Consider the following 24,059-nt stretch of genomic DNA (forward strand, 5'->3'; position numbering starts at 1 on the left):
CACACCTATAATCCCAGCATTTTGGGAGGCCAAGGAGGGAGGACCACTTGAGCACAGGAATTTGAGACCAGCCTGGGCAACATGGCAAAACCCCATCTCTCATCTCTACAAAAAATACAAAAGATTAGCCAGGCATGGTGATGCATGCCTGTGGTCCCAGCTACTTGGGAGGCTGAGGTAGAGGATCGCTTGAACAGAGGAGGTCAAAGCTGCAGTGAGTCATAATTGTGCCACTGCACTCCAGCCTGGGCGACAGAGCCAGACCTTATGTCAGGAGGGGGAAAAAAAATCATCCTAAAAGACTAAAAGAATATGGCTTATGCCATAGGCCATAGATTAGAAAATAAAAGCTGGTGAAAATGTTGATGTTCCTGCCACACAGAGAGGAAGAGAGGAGAGAGGAAAACGTTCTGGGCTGGGGAAAGACATTTGAGAGGATAGGAGAAAGAGAGCAAGAGAAATCAACTCAGTGTGAGCCCTGCCTTTACCAACTGATCATCTCATTCCCTCACTCCAGGAAAAACTCTTTATGGGGAAATAAACAAAAGGAATCCAAAACAGTAAGAGATGTGACCTCTCGCCTGACTGGAATTCTGGAGACATTTCACAGGGTGCCCCAGGGTCCCCTGGAGTAGCTAGAGGGGAGTAGAAATCTGGCCAAGTGGCACTAGGCAAAGAGAAACTGAGATGATCTTGCAATATGCAAAGGAGACCCAAAATGGGGTAGAGGAGGTCAATGGAGTTGGGAAATTTTGTGCCAGCCAGAGGCACCTGCACTGCATGGGGGAAGTGAGCCCTCTAGATTCCTGTGGCAGAAATCCAGGGCAGAGACCAGAGAGATAATCAGGCTCAGTCCAGGAACAGCTCTGAGAGCCAGAGCTGAGAAGTGAGCAGGCAGGGGCTCGAAATATGTGGGATGAGGCTCAAGACTCATACACACTGGAGTGCTCTGTAAGAAGACGATAGAAAATCACAAGTAAAAATAAGAAACTAAAGCAGATAATTCAATGGAAAAATCATTTAGAAATATAAAGTATTAAAAGTTGACAAATACCACAAATATCACAAAATCCAAAAAAGATAATCTTTTAATTTATCTTTTTAATTAGTTTTCATTTTTTAGAGGTGAGATCTTGCTCTGTTGCCCAGGCTGGAGTGCAGTGGCATGACCGTAGCTCACTGCAGCCTTGAATTCCTAGGCTCTGTGGATCCTCCCACCTTGGCCTCCCAAAGAGCTTAGGATTACAGACGTGAGCAACTGCACCTGGTCAGAAAAATAATAATATTTTTGTTAGTTAACTCCCTGCCATACCTCTGTAATGCTTTCTTAAATGGTAGGCCGCATACTTTAGGAATGCCTGATTATTTGATAACAATTTCAGATTATCATATTCTATATGGAAAAGGGAATACTAATTAGTTTCTCTAGCATGGTTAATGAAAAATTTATTTATTTTTATTGATATTTTACATAATTTTTTAGTTTGCAAATTGATCCTGGAATTCTCATTTAAATGTTTAAGATTGTCACATTTGGGGACATTTCTATCAAGATCATTTCTTATATGAGCTATAAGATTTATCAGGAAAGTTTGTATCACATAAGTGAAATGTAATTCAATATGTTAAGATGCATGAAATATGTGATTTCACTTACAAACATACTCATGGCTATAGTACTGCAGCAAACTTAACGCCTTCAAATGCAAGAATCCTGATAAATTGTATTTCAGACGATTGCCATGAAAAAGTTATAGTCCATGAATAATTGCATGTTACATGTATAATCAGCTATAGTCAGACGAGAATTGATAAAAACCAGATCCTCTACTTACAAAAATGTGTGTACGATGATTAAAAAATTTCCCACAGATTGGCTTCTACCTCTGACATTTCAAACCTCATTTCTCTCACACTCACTTATTTCTGACGTAGCCTGCAAAGTGCATTCCTATCTTTCCTCCCTGTCTCGCTCCCTCTTTTCCTCTCTGTTTTTTTCTGGAACTTGATCCTTCTCTGCCTTCAGCATTCTTTCCATTCTGCATCACAGCACAGAGCCATCCCATCTGCTCACATGATTAGAATCATCTAGAGTCTGGTGACCCGTACGTGAGTGGCTCCGGCTAAACTGTAGACATTTCCAATGGCTTAATGAACAGTCTCCTTTGTCCCACAACACCATACATCCAAAGTGTCAACACCAAATCTACTTTTCCTCTCTGCCTTCTCTGTTAGACAATGATATTATCATCTATCCATTCTCCCATGCTGGAAGTGCAGAAGTCACATTACATCCTTCTTTTATTCCCTCCTTCCAAAAAATAAGTCTTGTTGATCCTTCTTTCTAACAATCCCAATTCTCCATTTGTTGTATCTTTGTAAGTGACGTCACTGATTATTGCGTTGTTCTCATTGTGGTGGTGGTGGGTGAAGAGGTGAGAAAGAATAAGTGTATTTTGAGAAGTATTGTCTCTGAGAAACCAACACGGCAAGCAAGCACAGATGTCCAAACAAAAGGAGAAAATGTAGTCACCAAACTGGGAACAGAGAGGTTGTGAGTCAGTTTACATAGAACTGATAGGTTCAAACCATGGATTGTAAGAAAATAAAGCAAAGGGCCTGGCGCGGTGGCTCACGCCTGTAATCCCAGCACTTTGGGAGGCCGAGGCAGGCAGATCACGAGGTCAGGAGATTGAGACCATCCTTGCTAACACAGGGAAACCCCGTCTCTACTAAAAATACAGAAAAAAAGTAGCCAGGCGTGGTGGCGGGCGCCTGTAGTCCCAGCTACTGGGGAGGCTGAGGCAGGAGAATGGCGTGAACCCGGGAGGCGGAGTTTGCAGTGAGCCGAGATCGCGCCACTGCACTCCAGCCTGGGCAACAGAGTGAGACTCCATCTCTAAATAAATAAATAAATGAAAGAAAAGAAAAGAAAGCAAAGGATATGGAAAAAACTCAGCTTTCCTTTAAACAACTATGACTGTTACAGCATTCACTATAACGAGAAAATGTCTCAAGATTTCCAAGATACTCTCAGCACAGTCATATTTGAAAAGAAGATAAGAAAGCTTTGCATGCCTACTTCGACGTGGTCAGAGAGGTGGAAGAGTATTTCTGGGACCCATTGCTTACAACACAATCAGCAATGCACTCCTAGAAATACACGTGGCCCACAATACAGGCTAGACTCCTCTTTAGTTTCAGATGGAGTCTAGAGAAATGGGAGAAAAGCCTCAAATACTTGTAACTCTGTGTGCCTCGGGTCCTTCACCATCAAGCAAAGGTGCCTCTTTGCTTAGTTTCATAGAGGCCTCTCCCGGTCTTCTCTTTTTGAGGCAAACTAGCAAGCAATAGTTCCTTTCCTGCAGCAGGATTCAGAGGTCTGCTATCACCCCTCGTTCTCTTAGACAATGTGATCTTGAAAGTCTCATTGGGATCTTCTCATTATTCCATGACTTTCTATGATTGAAGTTCTTTTTAATTTGATAGTGAACTGGCACAGCAAAAACAAATATTCCCTCTTCAGTCTTACTTCAAAAATTGCTGGTTCTCTAAGAAAAAAATGTTTTGTCTTACACACAGAAAATAAAATAACCCAAGCCCTTATTTCTTTATTTAAATTCCATTCAACAAGCATATGCTGGTGCCCATCTTGTGCTGGGTTCTATGCTGAATGGATTATTTTTTTCTATTTTATTTTGTTAAATTATTCTATCCATGTTATTTTTCATATTTTACTTATATTGAGTGATTACATGTACAATGTCATTACCAAAAGTGTATATTAAGCCTCATATTTGTTGTACTAAGCGCAGTAAAAAATAATTTTACTAGTAGTCTAAACTTTCTAGAAATTTAAAATCTACAGCATATGTTTGCACTTCTACAAAAGGTAATTTTCTAATATTGATAATGATGAAATTGTTTTATCATATTTTGAAGTTGTCTTCTTTGTTGTTCCTTCCGTATTAAAGAAATACCTAGGGCTATACTATGATTTGAAGTCGCTAGTAATGTATACTTGATTTTTCATTTATAAAATTCCCAGATCATAAAATATAAGAAATGACCTTTCCCCTTAGAAGTTATAAGTTTGAAAGCTAAGCTATTTCTAAGCTCTAAATATCAGGTTCTTAGAATAAAAGCAAAGCAGTATTCTCTGTAAACCAAAAATCTCTAGCTCCTGAGATGGATGCTCTGATGCTGTTTTCAAAGTCTTTAGTCCAAAAAAATAAATATTCTATATATTTGCAAACAAAAATCAAAGCCACAGATAGGAATATTTCATCTAGTTATAACTGCTTATATATGTCAGAGAATATAACATAGTAACATTTTTCTATAATACATAAATACTATTTATCACAGAATACAGAAATCAGAGAAGCAAAACATGTCATTTTTATATAAACTTCTGATACGTGCTATCCATGTCCTGAAGTAAAATTTTCAGAAATCGAATAATGCAGGAAATGGGCACTTCCGGAAAGCATAATACAAAAATGGGAAAGCAAGGTCTCTTGGCTATAATGGAAGTATCTCTCGTTCCATTTCCTTTCCTATACCCAGAGGAGTAGTGCAATGACATTCGGCCATGTTCTCTCCTCACCCTCCAACCCAGTTTCCAATTCCAAAATAAGAATTTGAAGAGCTTTACAAAAGTGCATACCAGAAAACAAGAGAAATAAAGAAGAAGGCAGGCCAATAGAAACCAAGAGAGAATGAAACCATGAGATTAGCAGGAGAGGTAACACAATAGAAATGTATGCCATTAGCTTCTACACAATTATTATGGGGATACACAGATTTTCCTCTGATATTTTAAGCACCAAATGCAAAAATAAAAATACAATTAGTTATTCATTTTATATTTTCTATATACAAAGTTCATCATGGTTCTGAGAAAGCAACTTCCCCTTGCTCTGTCTGAAAGATACTCATGGTTTGTCATCGGGGGACCCGAAGGAAGAAGAAAGCAGAGAAGATTGGGAGAGGACAAAAGAGCGAGAGGATGTGGAGAGAAAGGGTGACATGCTACCAAGAAGACTGATAGTCAGCCGGGTGCGATGGCTCACGCCTGTAATCCTGGCACTTTGGGAGGCCAAGGTGGGTGGATCACGAGGTCAGGAGATCGAGACCATCCTGGCTACGACACGGTGAAACCCCGTCTCTACTAAAAATACAAAAAATTAGCCGGGCTTGGTGGCGGACGCCTGTAGTCCCAGCTACTCGGAAGGCTGAGGCAGGAGAATGGCGTGAACCCGGGAGGCGGAGCTTGCAGTGAGCCGAGATCGCGCCACTGCACTCCAGCCTGGGCGACAAAGGGAGACTCCGTCTCAAAAAAAAAAAAAAAAAAAAAAAAAAGGAAGAAGACTGATATTCATCCCACTCTGGTGACACACAGGAATGGAAACGGCCACTTGCCCTCTGGATGGAAATGCCTCTTTGCTTAATTTCATACAGGCCTCTCCCCGTCTTCTCTTTTTGAGGTAAACTAGCAAGCAATAGTTCCTTTCCCGTCGCAGGATTCAGAGGTCTGCTATCACCACTCTTTTCCTTTGCTGATAGTAGCTTATTAGAAATGTCATTAACTACATAACGTCACCTTGAAATAAATGTAAATTAAATGTTTCACAACATTTTATAGCAAAGTGAGAAGTCCTCCATTCTCCCCTTCACTAAGCTAGTGGAGAATATAATACAAAATAGCAACCTAATATATAGTCTTTCTCCATGTTAATGCCAATGAGAGGATAATCACTAGTTTTGATTATGCTTTTTCTTATTTTAGAACCTCCCCCCCCAACAGACAGACAGACACACACACACACACTCACAAGTAAAAACGCACCTGGGATATCAGAATGGAATAGATGGATAATAATGGATCAATTAACTCAGGTAGATACTCATTTGACCATATTCTTTGCCTAAATAATTACTTGAAATGTAGGAAAGTATCTTTATCTCATTGGATTGATCCAATTAAATATGAGTATTAAAGTATGACACTCTAGGGAGGATTTTTTTCTCGACTAAAAAGGTTAATTTCTATGTGAGGGTAAGTGGACATAAAAGTCATGGCAAATGCAAGAAATATATCTTTCCAAGCACATTGCTGAACATATAAAAGGGGCTTGTTGAATTCTTACTGAATTAGGTATCTTTCTTCACACTACTTGGTAAAAAAAATGAAAAGGCAGAAAAATTAGCCCCAAAAGAGATGAAACTCTTCCGTCCATCACCATTGACTCTATTGTGAACTTATGAAAAAGGTAGTTGAGCAATATGAAGGCCATGATGTGGAATTAAACACACACACACACACACACACACACACACACACATGCTGGATTCTAAAATGTGTCCTTCCTCCTCTCACTCTCTTGATCAGTTTTATTTCTGAACTGAGACACGATCACCACAATTCAAATAATTAACCACAAAACTAAACAGAAGTTTACAAAACCCATCAGGTGTACAGAGGTAATTTATTTAGTCTGGCTTCACTTAACACAAATAGGTCAAAAGCAATCACATTTTGTAAGTAGTAATAGTTGGAGAAATGTGTGAAGAATAGGTCAAAAGATAAATAAGAATTATTTTATAACCATAAGAAAGGAAGAACATCTATAAACAAAAGTCATATATGCAACATAAAAGAATAGGTGAGCTGCCAGCAAATGGGCCTCACAATGCCTTTTCCCCAACACTTCTGGAAGTTCCATAAAAATCACTCTAATGGGTCAAACATCGATGGTTCTCAGAAGAACACAATTTTTTTCAAAAACGAATAGCATTGTAAATTCATTTGAATTCATAAAACAAAAGAGCTATTTAATCATCTAGACCAAAGTTAAAGAAATACCTACTACAAAAATTTTAATGGGATAATTAGAAAGAAATAGCTTGGGCCACTGCTTCGAGCAGAAGATGGAGTTCAGTGGCTACCATAGGAAGGGTCAATATCAGGATGGCCTGTGAGTCCAGATGAGTCTCTCTTTGCCCATTTTGCCACAGAACACATTCACAGCACAGTACAAAGCAGTAGGCATGGAGTAAGGAAAAAGGCTTGTGTTTTAATAGCCAGGAGTTCTACTCGGACCCACTCAGGTAAACTGAATGGCAAAGATAATTCTTCCTGCAGGTCATTTCTTTTGCTAGTTTGCTAACTCTGAGTCCTATGCTCCTGTGCAAGGCCCATGATGTGACTCTGAGCATTCATTGAACTTTGCTGGGACAACATTCATGCCACCACATCAGAACAGAATGAAAGCTTGCCCTTTTTTTTTTTTTTTTTGAGACAGTGTCTCTCTCTGTTGCTCAGGCTGGAATGCAGTGGTACGATTCTCCTGCCTCAGCCTCCCAAGTAGCTGGGATTGCAGGTGCCTGCCACCACCCCCAGCTAATTTTTCTAATTTTAGTAGAGACAGGGTTGACCAGGCTGGTCTCCTTCCCCTGCCCTCAAGTGATCCATTCACCTCAGCCTCCCAAAGTGCTGGGATTATAGGCTTGAGCCACCAGGCCCAGCCCACATTACTCCTTTTCTGATTAGACCATCTCTTCAGATTAAAGCCTTTGGGTATATGCTGGAGGCAATTGGAATTCTTAATCCTTTAGCTTTGTATAATTTTCTTTCACATATTTAGAAGATCGTTGAGCCCCCTTTTATATGTTGCTGTGATCCAAAGCATGAGTAACTGGGGTAAGAATGCTGGCTATCTTTAGAGGAAGACTTTTTAAATAAATTGAGAAAAATTAAACAGCATCATTCCTATAAAATGCCCGTTGAAAGAATTTTTATAGATAAATATTCACTTTTTTTTGGTAAATTGATGATAAAATTATGTATATTTACCATATACAACATGATGTTTTGAAATGTATACACATTGTGGAATGGCTAGCATGCTAATTAACTATGCATAACCACGTTTCCTTTCACCATGTTGAACCCTGACATAATTTTTTTTTCCACAAACACCTCACTCTGGAGAAGGAAATGATTTTTTTTAATTAAAATAAACATACATTGGAAATACTTAGTGCTAAAATAAGCCTGAAGGAAAGGTTGGAAGTATGATGAGTCAGAAAACTGACTGTAAAGAAACCAATTACTTAACATAAAACACCATTAAAGATAAGCCACGAAATGTAAGGTCTGCTGGGTAGGAAAGTGGCAAATGCAATGAAGCATGTCTTTAGATCATGCAGGTCTATAACCAACGGTGAATCTAGCAAAAGTTATTTTCTCTTTTGGGGAGAAACTTCTTCTTATTAAAAAAATAAAAAATGTTTCAACTTCTTGAGCACCAAGGTCAATTATTCTAAATCTTAAAACCACAGTTTTAATTTTGCTTTTTTGTTGGTTTTTGTACTTTGGAGTATTTGTCTACATTATCCTTTTTATATTTGCCATATTTAAAGTCCAAACTAAAAGCAAATTATTTTCTCTCCTCAAGTTAAATGGCTCTATCTTTTTCTTTAAAATCCATTAAGAAAGTGAAACTCCCAAAGTAAGTCCAAAAAAAAGCCCCCAAGTCTGAAAATGTGGAGCTTTTCTGGCAGTAATGCAGCTTCTGCAAGTATTGCAGACCAGATCAGGTATCAGAATTTTAAAGCTTCAGTAACAAAGCTGTCCTATTGACCCTGAGGAGATTTATGAAATCACTTTCCTGATGTTATTGAAACCAAAACACTTTCCTGGACACTGAATTCAGTCCTAAACAAAGGGCCTCCAACCAACAGCTGTCTTGGGCTGAATGAGTTAGACTCAACCTCGTGTGACGGAAAAACAGTAAACACAAGCTAACATTTAAAAGGAATTGATGGCACCGTGTAAATCAGAAGCCCAAGGAGGGCCTGGCTTCAGGTGTGGGGTTCTCTCTCACGCTCTCAAATCCACATCCTCCGGATTAGGTCCATTTTCAGACAAGCTCCTCCAGCAACTACATACCATGCGTCTTCTCAGGTGTGGGTCCTGCAGGAAAACTAATACACTCTTTGTCCATAAGTCTCAAAATAAACTCTCACTGGCTCTGGTTGGAACATGAGAGCATCCTTGCCATTCACCATGGCCCCGGTCACTAAACGTCTTCACGCCCTGGACTGGTAATACAGCCTATCCCAAAGCACCTGGACTGAGAACGGGAAATGAGTGGTTCCCAGAGTGAAACTGAGGTACTATTACTAAATTAAGGTAAATATATGTGGAATGTTAAAAAAAAAATGATGTCCAATGTTTACAAGGTATACTTCTGCCATCAGATATAATGTATTATTGCAAGTGTACCTGCTTATATTCTACTATCATATTTCTAATTTCTGCAGGCCTTGAAAACATATAACACTCCTAGATACTTACCCAGGAGGAAGAAAAGCATATGTTTATATAAAGACTTGCACATGAATGTTCGTAACAGTTCATTTGTAACATCCAAAAGTTGTATGCAACTCAGTTCCCATTAATAGGTGAATGGATTAAAAAAAAAAACAGATGAATGCATAAGTAATACTACTTGTCAATAACAAGGAATTAATTCTTGTTATATGCAACCACATAGATGAATCTCAAAATAATGACACTGAGTGAAAGAAGCAGCACAAAAAAAGAGTACATACTGAATGATTCTATTTGCATCTTCTAGGAAATGCAAACTAATCTATAAGAACAGAAAGCAAACCAAGATCAGCAATTGCCTGAGGAATAGTGAGGGTTGGATATGAGGACAGGGAGGGGCAAACAGGAAAGATTAAAGAGCTACACAAAGACACTTTTGGGAGCAATTGATGTCATTATCTTCATCAGAGGTTGACATTTTTTTCTGTAAAGTGCAAGATAGTAAATAACTTAGGCTTTGCATGTCATCTGATCTCTGTTGCAATTATTGAACTTTGCCATTGTAGCATCAAAACACTTATGGGTTTTTAAATAGGTGTATTTATTTATAAAACAGGCAACGGTCCAATTGGGTCTACACACCATAGTTTGCCAATCTCTGATCTTAATTATGGTGGTGGTTTCACAGGTGTACACACGTATCAAAGCTTATCAAATTGTATACTTTAATTATGCGTTATTTATTATAGGTCAATTCCACCTCAATAAAGCATTAAAAAATAAAAACAAAGCAAACACACTTGGGTTCCTCATCATGGATTGGATAGAGTCTAATCTTACCATGGCATACAAGTTCTTCATGTACTGGCCTCTCTTCTTCCCCAGTCAGATCCCTTGCCATTCCCTGGTAGAATGTGCTTGACACACACATCAGGCCATTCCAACTCTACATCTTTGTTGGGGTTCTCTCTGTTACCTCTCTGTCTAGAATGACCTGCTCCTACCAAGTGTCTAACTCAATCATCCTGCTTGTGCTTTGAGATTAAACTTGCACTTCCAGGATGCCTTCCACATCTTACTCCTACTATTCCCTTTGCCTTATGCTCTGTGAGATGCCTCATCTCTGTGCCCCATAATCGCCTGTGTGTTTGTATGTGCATGTGTTTGTGTACATACCTATAGACACTTGCACAATTATACTTCTTGATAATTTTAACTATATTTATATAGCTAAAATTTTCTCTTTTATATTTAGAATTACTATCCAGTCGCTGCCCCTACTATTTGACTGGAATCTCCCTCTTTCTATTAGACCTATCACAATGACTGACACATTACAAAAAAAAAAATTAAAACCCTCACTGCGTGTGGTGTCTCATGCCTGTAACACAAACACTTTGGGAGGCCGAGGAGGGAGGACTGCTTGAGCCCAAGAGTTCAAGACCACCCTAAGCAACATGTCAAGACCCTGTCCCTACAAAAGTTTTTTAAAATTAACAGGGTATGGTGGCATGCACCTGGGATCCCAGTTATTCAGGAGGTGAGGCAAGAGGATCTCTTGAGTCCAGGAGGTTAAAGCTGTAGTGAGCTCTGTTCATACCATTACACTCCAGCCTGGGTAACAGGGCAAGATCCTATCCAAAAAAAAAAAAAAAGGAAGAAACTCAACAAAGCAGCATCGTTGCTATTATTGCAGCTATTTAGCCAATAGGTACATCATTGACATCATTGTAAATAGCCAAGCTGATACTGGAAAACAATTCTATATCTAATCTCAAAAAAGCTTTCTACTAATTCATGCAAATTTATTATTGGAAGCTTACCTATATTTTACACTAGTGTCTTTTACTGATTCTCACTCTTCTTCCTTTATCTCCTAGATACACCAAGATGAAGACTGCCACCAACATCTACATTTTCAACCTTGCTCTGGCAGATGCCTTAGCCACCAGTACCCTGCCCTTCCAGAGTGTGAATTACCTAATGGGAACATGGCCATTTGGAACCATCCTTTGCAAGATAGTGATCTCCATAGATTACTATAACATGTTCACCAGCATATTCACCCTCTGCACCATGAGTGTTGATCGATACATTGCAGTCTGCCACCCTGTCAAGGCCTTAGATTTCCGTACTCCCCGAAATGCCAAAATTATCAATGTCTGCAACTGGATCCTCTCTTCAGCCATTGGTCTTCCTGTAATGTTCATGGCTACAACAAAATACAGGCAAGGTGAGTGATGTTACCAGCCTGAGGGAAGGAGGGTTCACAGCCTGATATGTTGGTGATGTCATAAGCAAAGCAGTATTTATGGAGTGCCCCATTGTCTTAGTCACATTGTAATTTTAATTATTCTTCCTAGCAAAAAAAGCCTTTGAATACTTAAAAATAGGAATTTTCCTCATAATTTTAGGCCTATTAAATCCTTTAAAGAGAATGTAATCTATTTATTTCTGATTTCTCTGTATTTACTTCATAAAAATGGTGTGTAAATTAGTACATAGCTCTCCCAAGAGTAATTGGAGCTTAAACCCAAAGAGTATTACACTGAGGCTTGTTTAAAATTATCAAGTGGCTGACTACATGGCAAATGTATCTTTCTACACCTAATATCAGAATATTGAACAATCCATCAAAAAATGAAGTGAAAACATCCATTACCTGGAGCCGCCTAGAGACTTTGGACAATTATTACATTTTTTATATCAATATAGACCTCATGGAGGATCTAGCTCATGTTGAGAGGTTCATTTTTGTTCCCTGAACGAAAGCTTAATGTGATCGAAGTGGACTGCAAAATGGGAAATTTAGAAAAAAACAAAAAACATTAGAAGTAAAACTTTCTTTGAAAAGTAACAAACAACTGAGTTTCTTCCACAATTTCTTTATAGCCTTAAGTTAGCTCTGGTCAAGGCTAAAAATGAATGAGCAAAATGGCAGTATTAACACCTTATGACATAATTAAATGTTGCTGCTAATTTTTCCTTTAAATTCCTTTCTTCTAGGTTCCATAGATTGTACACTAACATTCTCTCATCCAACCTGGTACTGGGAAAACCTGCTGAAGATCTGTGTTTTCATCTTCGCCTTCATTATGCCAGTGCTCATCATTACCGTGTGCTATGGACTGATGATCTTGCGCCTCAAGAGTGTCCGCATGCTCTCTGGCTCCAAAGAAAAGGACAGGAATCTTCGAAGGATCACCAGGATGGTGCTGGTGGTGGTGGCTGTGTTCATCGTCTGCTGGACTCCCATTCACATTTACGTCATCATTAAAGCCTTGGTTACAATCCCAGAAACTACGTTCCAGACTGTTTCTTGGCACTTCTGCATTGCTCTAGGTTACACAAACAGCTGCCTCAACCCAGTCCTTTATGCATTTCTGGATGAAAACTTCAAACGATGCTTCAGAGAGTTCTGTATCCCAACCTCTTCCAACATTGAGCAACAAAACTCCACTCGAATTCGTCAGAACACTAGAGACCACCCCTCCACGGCCAATACAGTGGATAGAACTAATCATCAGGTACGCAGTCTCTAGAATTAGGTATATCTACTGGGGATGACATAAAAATTATAAGGCTTTGTGCTAAACTAGGAGTTTAATCCATTATAGAGGATGAGAATGGAGGGAAGAGGGGAAGCAAATTGTGGTTCTAGTGTTAGAGAAGAGGTTTGTTATATAAACTGTGTTCTTTATATTTGACTGTACATATTCATTTAGGTATAAAGATACACCAATGAGAAATCCATGAAACTATTCAAAATAACTATTTTTATGGCCTTTACTTCTATGCAAAATTTATGACTTTAGCACATTATAGAAATAATTCTGATCTAGAATCCTTTTCATTTTCCCCAGAATTATTATATAATTCATAGATGTTGCTGCAATACCCCTCTTATTTCTCAAAAGCCAGTCTTGCTCTGGTTCTGTGATTAAAGAGAGAGGGTGAGTGCCTTGCCCACTGTGGTCATGGATGCAAGATATTCACAGAAAATTAGCATCATGGAAAAGGAGAAAAGATTAAAAAATGACCATCCCTAACTTTTCTTAAGCTATTGGTTTGCTACCTGAACTCTAGCACAAATATCAAACATATTAGACTGAATAATATATTATTAATATGTGAATATTAATCTAATAAATTTTATTAGATTAAACAATTTTTAACAGACCTCATGCTTGTTGGAGATAATAGGGTGAATAGCGACTAGCTTTTGGAAGGTGTATTTCTGTGCCCAGACCTACACAGAAAATTCAAGACTTATACACACTATTATAATCATATGGGAAATCAACAAGGAGGAAAGAGAAAAGGCTGTCTCCAAGTTAGTATTACTTGATTAAGCCACTGGTTGGCTAAATTTGACCTCTGATCTATAAAATCAATCAAATACATGGCTTAATTTTTAATATTAATCTAAGTAAGTAAATTTTAAATAATGATGCCAGCATCCAAAAATCACAGCCTGTATAATTTTTTTAACAGTGAATTCAAATTCAAACTTCCTATGAAGTAAAGGCTGGAGTCAGAATCTTGGCTAAAGTTCCTAGAGTCAGGCGTCAGGACTGTGAGGACAGATGGCTCCGGAGAAATGAATAGCAAGTCAAATGATTGAGGAGCTAGGGGAGGCCTTTGCCACCACAGGGTGCAGTGGCTTCCTCCTGCTGTCTCTTGACCACACCCTGTCTCTCACTGTCCCCTCTTTACCCCACTCTGCCATCCAGCCCAGCCCAGGCTCAACCTTTCTAATTGACCAGAGGACTAATGTAATATGGCCCAGATACATCCGTCATGGGCGACATTAATCCTCATACCCCTGGTATTCAGTGATGCTCAAGGGAACACAGGAACTCACACCCCCTAGAGAGCATGAGGTAATGATGGCAGACCCACTTCCAGACAAAGGGAAATTAACTTATTATGTCTCAGTTCTAATTCCATTTCAGAAATGAATGCCAGAAAGAAATGGTTTTGACTCTGCTTCTTTTCTCTACGTTTTTTTCCACATCAAGACTGCTAAACCTACTCCTTTTACTAGGAGCTACTTTTAAAAAGTAATTGCAAAAACAGCGATTACTTTTGCACCAACCTAATGCTAAGCAGCCCTCCTATTCAGTGGCTGCTAGAATCTTGTAAGTAACTTTAAAAGGGCAGGGATTTAAATAGATTTTCACCAACCTGGGGATAACATGTTAAAGATTGCAACTTAAAATGCCTAGTCCTCAGCTAAGGATAAAATATTTTGCTTTGAAGTAAAATATTTCCATTGGAGCAAAATAATGGCCATTATAAAGTACTGACTCTTTCTCCTTTAGTGCCTACCTATACCTTCCCTGTCTTGCTGGGCTCTAGAGCAAGGCTGCTTGGTTGTGTACCCTGGACCACTGCAAGGACCTCTTGTCAGATATGACCTCCCAGCTATCCTTCACTCGTCCTGCCTTCGTGGAAATACTGCTCCCAGCCCGTCTGGTGGAGCATTTCTCCTGAGTTAAGCATGATTATTCTTCAGTTGCCCGACACTGCCCTTGACTCCCTTCCAAATTCGGCATTTTCACATCAGTATGGCTATTGTACAGCCAGATAGAAGAGAAAAGAAGCTAATTGGAGGAGTTCTGTTCCAAGTAACTAAAAGGTTTGCTTTAAAAATACATCCAATTAGGCCTTATCTTCATCGCTGCCTCTATGAAGCAGTATCAGTGTAAGATAACAGCAGAAACACATTAGCCCTCGAATTGGTTGCTGTCCCAAAATGCCCAACTGAGAGAACTGGACACAGAAGAGAGGCTGCCAGGAAAAGAGGGAAAGATGCTCTGACATATTTAAAAATTAAGATAAATCAAAGCTCCCTTTGGCTAATCTCCACTGATGTGTCATCATTAGAATTAAAGCAGTTACAACCAGACAACTGGAACAATACATAAGCTGCTAGTGATAGTTTCAATAATATATCAACATAATAAAATGACTTGAAGGAGAAATTGGAGACTTGATGGCTGTGTCTATAGGACATGTTAAGTTAGTTGTACAAATCCAGAATGTGATAAACAGGTGTTTGGTCGTTGTTTCACATCATGACCCATCATGTTGGAAAACAAAGCTAATAGGATTTGCATTTAACTTTTCAACTACTTGTTTGAAGTTTATATTGGTTGTGGATGTTTATGTTCTGCCTTATGTATTTGTACTTTCTTTGAGGAATATATTATACTCTATATGTCACATTTCAAGCACATTAGTCAACTTCATATTCTGCAGATCAGAGATCCAATATCAAACCTTCCCAGGGTGTCTGTATTCTGACAACTGTCCACTGAGGCAATTTCCATACAGCGCAAAGTGGAGTGGCGATTTGGCAGTTATCAAGGTAATTTGATAAGCCAATGAGAAAATTCTGTGCCCAAAATAAGCTTAGAGTCATACTTACACAGTTAAGAGCTGCTCAGTCAGCTTTTGTTACATTACAAATCATTCCAAAATGTAGTGGCTAGAAGCAACCATTTATTTAGTTTACAATTCTGTAGAACAGCCATTGGAGCTGGGCTTGGCTGGACCGTTCTTCCAGTATTGGCTGGGCTTGCTCGGAGGGCAGCTGCCCGATGGGCGGGTGGTCAGCTAGCTGATCTACATGGCCTCAGCAAGAATGACTAGCTCCACATGGACTCTTACCGTCTAGCATGTTACCCCAGCCTTGTTCTCATGGTGGTCACAGATTCCAAGAGAAAGAAAGAGAGAGAGAAAAGAGGAAAGCGTCTTTTGGCATAGAGTAGGAATTGGCATACGGTCAACTCTGTGGTTTTATAGGTCAAATAAAGTCATCCTGCCAACCTAGATTCAAAGGGTGAGAAATTAGACTCCATCTCTTGCTGATAGGATCTGCAGTCACATTGCAAAAGGATAGGTATATAGGGAGCGAATAATTATGACCACTTCTGCTAACAATCCGTAGTAAGGACATGCTGCATGAGACAGGGAAGCCATTACTTCCTGAGGGCAGGAGCCGTGTCTGTCTTGCTCTCCCAAGCCAGAGTCTAGCACATTAAAAAGAAAGTACTTCTGGCCAGGCACAGTAGCTCATGCCTGTAATCCCAGCACTTTGGGAGGCCAAGGCTAGTGGATCACCTGGGGTCAGGAGTTCGAGACCAGCCTGGTCAACATGGTGAAACCCCGTCTCTACTAAAAATACAAAATTAGCCAGGTGTGGTGGCACATACCTGTAATTCCAGCTATTTGGGAGGCTGAGACAGGAGAATCGCTTGAACCTGGGAGGCAGAGGTTGCAGTGAGCCCAGGTCGTGCCATTGCACTCCAGCCTGGGCAACAAGAACGAAACTCCATCTCAAAAGAAAGAAAGAAAAGAAAGAAAGTACTTCCAAAACATCCAAAGCATTGGACAGATTCATGTCTGTTGAATAAATGATGAGAGGGCTGAGGATATTTCAGGAGATGTGGCAGGCATGACCCCTTCATCATGCAACTGACGAACAACCTAAATGACTATGTACCCTAACCCTCTTACCGTCAGTAATGGGAAAATATTCAAAATAGGCCTTCTTCCTTTTCTCCTCCTCAGCCTTTGCTACTCTGATCCAATGTTATTTATACTTTTCAAAAAATCAGTTACATTCATGGTTGTTTTCTAATTTTATTTCTAACGCGTACTTTTGATAAGGAGACCAAGAGATTGATTCAGTGCCCTAAAGAGGTCTTTCCCTAGCTGAGTATGAAAAAACAAAAAAGATGGTCTCGTGTTTTTTTTGTGCATGCCTGGGCTCAGCCTACTGCTCCAGCTGTAGCCTCTGTGCCTGATTTATGTTCAGCTTGCTGTCTTTATGACTTTTAGATCTTTATTAGGTAGACTAAGGCATAGGCATTCATTTTCCATCTGTTCTCAGTGCAATTTAATTTCTCCACACACGCCCTACACTGCTGTTGTCCTATTGAACTCCACTTTGCTTTCAAACCCTTCCCTTGTTTATTTCGATCACTTCAGGTTCAACTCAAACCTGAACTGTTGGCCACTGCTAACCTGCCTTGCCCACTTGGTTTCCACCCGCATCATATTATCTAATGCATTTTCTTTTTGTTGTTATTGTTGTTGTTTGTTTGTTTTTTGATTTTTAGTTTGAAATGGAATTACTCTGTCGCCCAGGCTGGAGTGCAGTGGTGCGATCTCAGCTCACTGCAACCTCTTCCTCCTGGTTCAAACGATTCTCCTGCCTCAGCCTCCCCAGTAGCTGGGATTACAGGCATGCGCCACCACACCCAGCTAATTTTTGTATTATTTTTAGTGGAGATGGGGTTTCACCTTGTTGGTCAGGCTGGCCTCAAACTCTTGACCCCAAGTGATCCGCCCACCTCAGCCTCCCAAAGTGCTGAGATTCCAGACGTGAGCCCCTGTGTCTGGCCTCTAACGCATTTTATATCTTGACACGTAGGTGATTATTGAAAACGTTTAGCATTATATGGGGAAAAAAGCAACACTGTTACATCAGTTGAATTATCACTGAAACGGTAGAGTTTGGTGCAAAAGTAATTGCGGGTTTTGCCATTACTTTCAATGGCAAAAACCGCAATTATTTTTGCACCAGGCTAGTACTAACAACCACTATAATAATAATGCTGCCTTACATTTATATGGCAATGTACAGATTCAAAAGTGCTTTTATGGGCATTATCACATCTGCTTCCTATAACAACTCTGATGGGTAAATGTAAGAAAATGCTCAGGGAAGTTAAATCATTATATAAGATCAAACAGCCAGGAAGAGGTAGAATCCAGACAAGCACCCAGGGCTTCGAATATTACTCCACAGCTTTTCTCTGCTTTCCTACACAATGCTACTTTGCACTCAATTATTATCACATGGTCTCAGCCAGATTCTCAACATTTACTATGAGCTCCAGAAAATGTAAGTTCTTAAGAACTGCTCTAATAAATTATAGTTTGTTATGTGAGGGTCCAAGAATCTGCCTTTTAAATAAAACAATAAACTGAAATCTCTTATTTAAACTGTACCTTCATCTCCAAAGTAGCACATTTACTGTTTTGTCTAACCTGTCTAGCCATTTCAGTCAAGCTGATTGACATGAATGTTTTCACCAAATGAGTTATGTGTTTTGTGAAATAATGTAATTATCCTTGGAAAAAGCCTTAATATTCTGACATATCTACCCGTGGGTCTTACAGGAAAAAGCAATATAATAGTGATAAAGTGAACGTCGTGGCATGTCCTGCTAATTCCTTTCCATTAATATGGCAAGTCCAGTCCTAAACCCTCTAATTACTATTATTAAAGCACTTTCTTGACATTTTAATCAAAATAGCGGGTCAAGAAGTTAGGAGATGCTCTGTATTTGGTTTAACTGTGAACTATATTATCCCCAGCTAAACTAAAAGCAGAAGCCTACTTTTAAAATAAAATACATCACTCTCAAAAGTTGATCTCAGTTTTTTTTACAAGACATCTGTGGAGAGTTAATTTGGGAAAGTAATTGTTTCAATTCAATGGGAAAAAAAACTCAAATGAGAATAGCTCACAAAATTACAGCAGTGGACAACATTAATGCTTATTTTGTGAATGAAATCAAAATGGCTATTCTTTCAGTTCTACAGTTTAAAAAGAAAATGGTTCCGTGTGTGTGTGTGTGTGTGTGTGCGTGTGATATAGGCATGTCTCTTTTTGCATGTATGGAATTAGAGTAAATGTAGGTTTAAAATTAATATTTCATGCATAGCAGAAGAAATTAGTATGTGTTTCTATAAATTATTGTGATATGTGAGAGAAAATGTTGTTTAGTTAAAAATGTGTTTATCCCTAGAAAAATTTGGCTTTTAGACTATTCATAATAACATATATTGACCATTTTGTGTCTGGGATGGGATATCTTATTTAATCATATTAGATATGGATTGTAACCTCTACTCTATAGTTGAGGAAACTAATGTTTAAGGAAGTAACTTGCCCAAGGTCATAGTTAAAATGTAGTGGCTGAGGGTTGGGTGCAGTGGCTCACGCCTGTTATCCTAGTACTTTGGGAGGCCAAGGCAGGAGGATTGTTTGAGGCCAGGTGTTCGAGACCAACCTGGCCAACATAGCAAGACCTTGTCTCTACTAAATTTATAAAATTTTAAAAATTAGAAAAAAAATTTTAATTAGTGGCTAACTATTGACTCCAGTTAAATTCCATCTTATAACCCAGGCTTTTAATCAATGTGCCCTGATATATTCCAGTCTATTTTTCACTCTTCTCAGCATGGTCTCAGACCTGAGAAATTTAGGGAAATTTAGTTTTAAAGATTGGATTAACTAAAGTGGTGCAGTATCTTCTTTTCCTGACTGTTCTAACTAATGTAACTAACTGAAAAACAGCAACATATTTTTCCTTTCAAAACTAACAAAATGAGATGTCATCTTATTTGGTTAAACTTAAGTGGTGAATTGCTATTTTACAGCCATTTTTTGTAAAAATACTCTCACTGAGATTTAGTGTTTTGGAACATGTCAATCTTTATTTTCTACCTCATGTAGTTTTGGATGCTAAATATGAAAAGGTGCATATTTTTCTCTTTTAACTTTCAACAACACCACGTTTATTTTTACTTCTACCTCTATGATTTTGAAATGCAGTTTCACAGTATTTATTTTTGCTTTTGCATTTTCTCCTTCACACTAAAGGAAAGGATATTTGAATGTATATGACCTATCACAAACCAGCTGTTAACTTTTGGATGTCATTCTGATCACTATATCTTTTGGCAGGTTGCAAATAAATATTTGTAAATTGCTAAAATTTGACAAAAATGGCAAAATTAATTTGGAGAGTACATTATGAGAAATAGAAATTTCTGTGGGGTGTAGAACAAAATTTGTCTTATTGATAATTTTCCTTTTCTAATTATTATTTCCCTGGAAATCAAGAATCCAAAGCCACAATTTCATCAGTCCTCTCCCTTCACACTCAGAATTTGTTTCTTTATAGAGTAGAGTTTCTGAGTTTCACGTGAATAGGAACTTTTCATGATGAAGAAAAAAAATTAGAGCCAGACCAGGTGCAGTGGCTCTCATCTGTAATCTCAGCATTTTGGGAGGCCGAGGCCAGTGAATTGCTTGAGCCCAGGAGTTCAAGACCAGCCTGGGCAACCTGACGAAAGTCGATCTCTGCAAAAAACAAACAAACAAAAAAAGCCAGGCGCGGTGGCATGCACCTGTAGGTCTAGCTACTCAGGAGGCTAAGGTGGGAGAATTGATTGAACCTGGGAAGTTGAGGCTGCAATGAGCAGTGATTGTGCCACCGCACTCTAGGCTGGGCAACTGAATGAGAGTCTGTCGAAAGGAAGGAAGGAAGGAAGGAAGAAAGGAAGGAAGGAAGGAAGGAAGGGAGGGAGGAAGAGAGCGAGAGAGAGAGAGAGAGAGAAAGAAAGAGAAAGAAAGAGAAAGAAAGAAAGTAAAGAAAGAAAGAGAGAAAGAGAAAGAAAGAGGGAGGGAGGAAGAAAGAAAGAGAGAAAGAAAGAAAGAAAAAGAAAGAAAGAAAGAAGGAAAGAAAAAGAAAGAGGAAGGAAAGAATGAGAGAAAGAGGAAAGAGAGAGAGGGAGAGAGGAAGGGAGGGAGGAAGGAAACCATATCGTCTATGACTTCTACTCTACTGCAATAAAATCTCTTAAATAAAGATCATACACATATATACACACATATATATACACACATGTATATACATATATACACACATATATATGATGTGGGTAGGGGAGGCTAGAAACAAGATTCATTTCAAATGTTAAATTGTAATTGTAGTTTTTAAAAACATGGAGAGTTTTCATAATAAACATGAAGAGTTTCATAAAAACATGAGTTTTCATAATATATATCAAATATATATCATATCAGGATATATCATAATATATTATATATTATCATATGATATATATCATAACATATTATATATTATATTATGATATATATCATAACATGTATTATCATATTATGATATATATCATAACATATATATTATCATATTACGATATATATCATAACATATTATATATTATCATATTATGATATATATCATAACATATTATATATTATCATATGATATATATCATATGATATATATCATGATATATATCATATTATATATTATCATATTATGATATATATATTATATATTATCATATTATGACATATAATATATATTATCATATTATGACGTATCATAATATATATTATCATATTATGACATATCATAATATATATTATCATATTATGACATATCGTAATATATATTATCATATTATGACATATATCATAATATATATTATCATATTATGACATATATCATAATATATATCAAAAAGTCACAGAGCTCATGCAAGCCCAGTCATCCCCATTGCCAGTGGTGTGTGCTAAAGGAATACACCCATAAATATTAACCCTAACTGGTGTGAGATAAGTATGAATTTAAGGTAGTGCTTGTTGCTTTACTGTGTATGAATCAAAGGAAATTAACCATCTTGTCTTTCTATAACATCTGAACATATTAGAAACACATGCAAAGAAATAAATAGCCTGATAAATTGGCTCCATATCATTATCAGATACCAAATAAATATAGGCTGAAAATTTCATCACAATTTGAATATTGGTCCTCTCAGTTTAAGAATGAATATATAGAAAAATAATGTGAGCAATTTGTCTGTATAAAGTGAAGTATTTCTTGGGAAAGAAGGAAAAAGAGCTAATGTATAGAGCACATTTTTTGTGTAAAATCAGCTACCATCTACTATTCTGTTTTCTATACAGACACCAGAAATCCCAAGAATACTAGATATCTACAAAATCTAGCAATCCCTACCTAGGTTCTTTCTACTTTTGTCACATTATCCAATATTTATAAAGGTTAAAAAATATATATTTAGGAGATTTTATAAATATAAATATATATGTATATATAATCCAGGATTCGTAATATATATTTACATATTATATATATAAATATATATACACACATATATAAAATTCAAGTTTTCTATACCTAAGTCCCTTGAAGTGTAAAAAGTAAATGATTTATTATGATGAAATGGATTCCTTTAAGATGTAATAGAAAAGCAAATCCTATGAAAGATGATATTAAGAAATAAGAATAACTTAATCAACAAATAGCAAAATATTTTTTAAAACGTTGACAACCAGAAAATTCAGTGAAAGGTGGATGTGGGATGAGATATGACTACTGTACATTTGACAATACAATCATCTATTTAACTCATTTCATAATTTGTCGACTTAAGAAGAATATCTCACTCTTACTCTTCTTCATTCTTCTCTATTATATTAGCTAAGGTGTTCTTATATTCAAAATTCCTGAAGTATCATTAAATATGGGCTCATTCAAATTCAAACCATCAACTTTTAAAAACGCTCTCCTTGAGCTACTCTTTGGAAATAGAAGGGAAATGGGAGGAACAATTCTCTCATAGAATTTTTAAATGCTTCAGCTAAGGCTTGCAGTGTGACTTGCATATACTATAATAACTGAATTTCTTTCTGATTGCTTCAGAAGTTCAATATGACAAATAGACTTTCAAATGGCTATAGTATAGCAAATATCAACGTCTAAATCTCAATAATGTAACTGGATATGTCAAGCAGATGCAAAATGTTCACAGTTCTTCGAACACTGGAACTGAAAAAGAACACTGCAGACTGTCTTATCCAAACATCCTTTTCCTATAAATGGAGAAATTGAAGGCCAGAAATGTATTTTTTTATTGTGTACCTTTTTTCTTACTAAATGTAAAAGATGATAGTGAAATCTTTCCAAACACCTAGTTTTCAAATAGAGTTTAAGAAAATTTGTGTAAATAAAAAGTCAGATAATTGTATTTTTACATAAACATATGTAAATTTAATTTTAAAATTTTCATCAGGTTAAGGGGAAGCATTACAATTAGATAAGAACAGCAGATGCAAGATAAAATCCTAAAAAATTATTTATTTTATTTTTTTGGAGACAGGATTTAGCTCTGCTGTCCAAGCTGGAGTGCCGTGGCACCAGCTCAGCTCCCTGCAGCCTCTACTTCCCAGGCTCCAGTGATCCTCCTGCCTCAGCCTCCTGAGTAGCTAAAACTATGGGCACACACCATCACACCATGCTAATTTTTGTACTTTTTGTAGAGACAGGGTTTTGCCGTGTTGCGAGCCTGGTCTTAAACTCCTGGGCTGAAGTGATCCACCTGCCTTGCCCTCCCAAAATCCTAGGATAGCCAAAATCCTAAAAATGTAAATGGCCCCAGATCATACTACTGATGGGCTGAATGTTCTTGGGCAAGTTTCTAACAATCTCTGCTTGCATTTCCTCATCTGTAAGAAAGGTAATAACTGTAGTAACTACCACTTAGCTTTGATGTAAGCATGATGTATGATTATCCATCCAAAGTGTCAGGCAACTGGCTAATATTATTACTCCAAGCCATCCGGTGAGGCTTTACTATTCTCATCTTCTTCTTTTCCTTTTCCCTCAAAACTGAATTTCATCTCTTGTAAATAGCATTTAAAAGGAATGAAATAATGTACCAAAAGAGATCATAAAGTGGACTAACCCAAGCCTTCTCAACCTTGGCGCTAGTGACATTGTGGGCACTGTAAGATGTTCAGCAGCATCCTTTGTCTCAACACACTAAATGCCAGTAGCACCCACCCATCTCCCACTGTGAT

At 37.8% G+C, this 24,059-nt stretch overlaps 1 protein-coding gene across 30 annotated transcripts in view; it reads left to right on the forward strand.

The window, feature by feature from the left end:
* The window catches only part of OPRM1 (opioid receptor mu 1), a 236,372-nt gene that overhangs the window by 68,110 nt on the left and 144,203 nt on the right, over positions 1 to 24,059 (forward strand). For 11 of the 30 annotated variants that reach the window (NM_001145279.4, NM_001145280.4, NM_001145281.3 and 8 more), the window contains 2 exons: positions 11,221 to 11,573; positions 12,347 to 12,867. The exons of 1 other annotated variant lie outside the window; for it this stretch is intronic. In NM_001145279.4, the coding sequence (NP_001138751.1) occupies positions 11,221 to 11,573; positions 12,347 to 12,867 (874 nt within the window). Of the gene's footprint in view, positions 1 to 2,360; positions 2,555 to 2,898; positions 5,107 to 7,901; positions 9,200 to 11,156; positions 11,574 to 12,346; positions 13,353 to 14,664; positions 14,916 to 15,604; positions 15,714 to 24,059 lie in introns of those variants that run through there. 18 more of the 30 variants (NR_104348.1, NR_104349.1, NR_104351.1 and 15 more) reach the window with 16 other exon arrangements.

This window comes from Homo sapiens, chromosome 6 (genome assembly GCF_000001405.40).
Source record: "Homo sapiens chromosome 6, GRCh38.p14 Primary Assembly".
Classification (NCBI taxonomy): domain Eukaryota; kingdom Metazoa; phylum Chordata; class Mammalia; order Primates; family Hominidae; genus Homo; species Homo sapiens.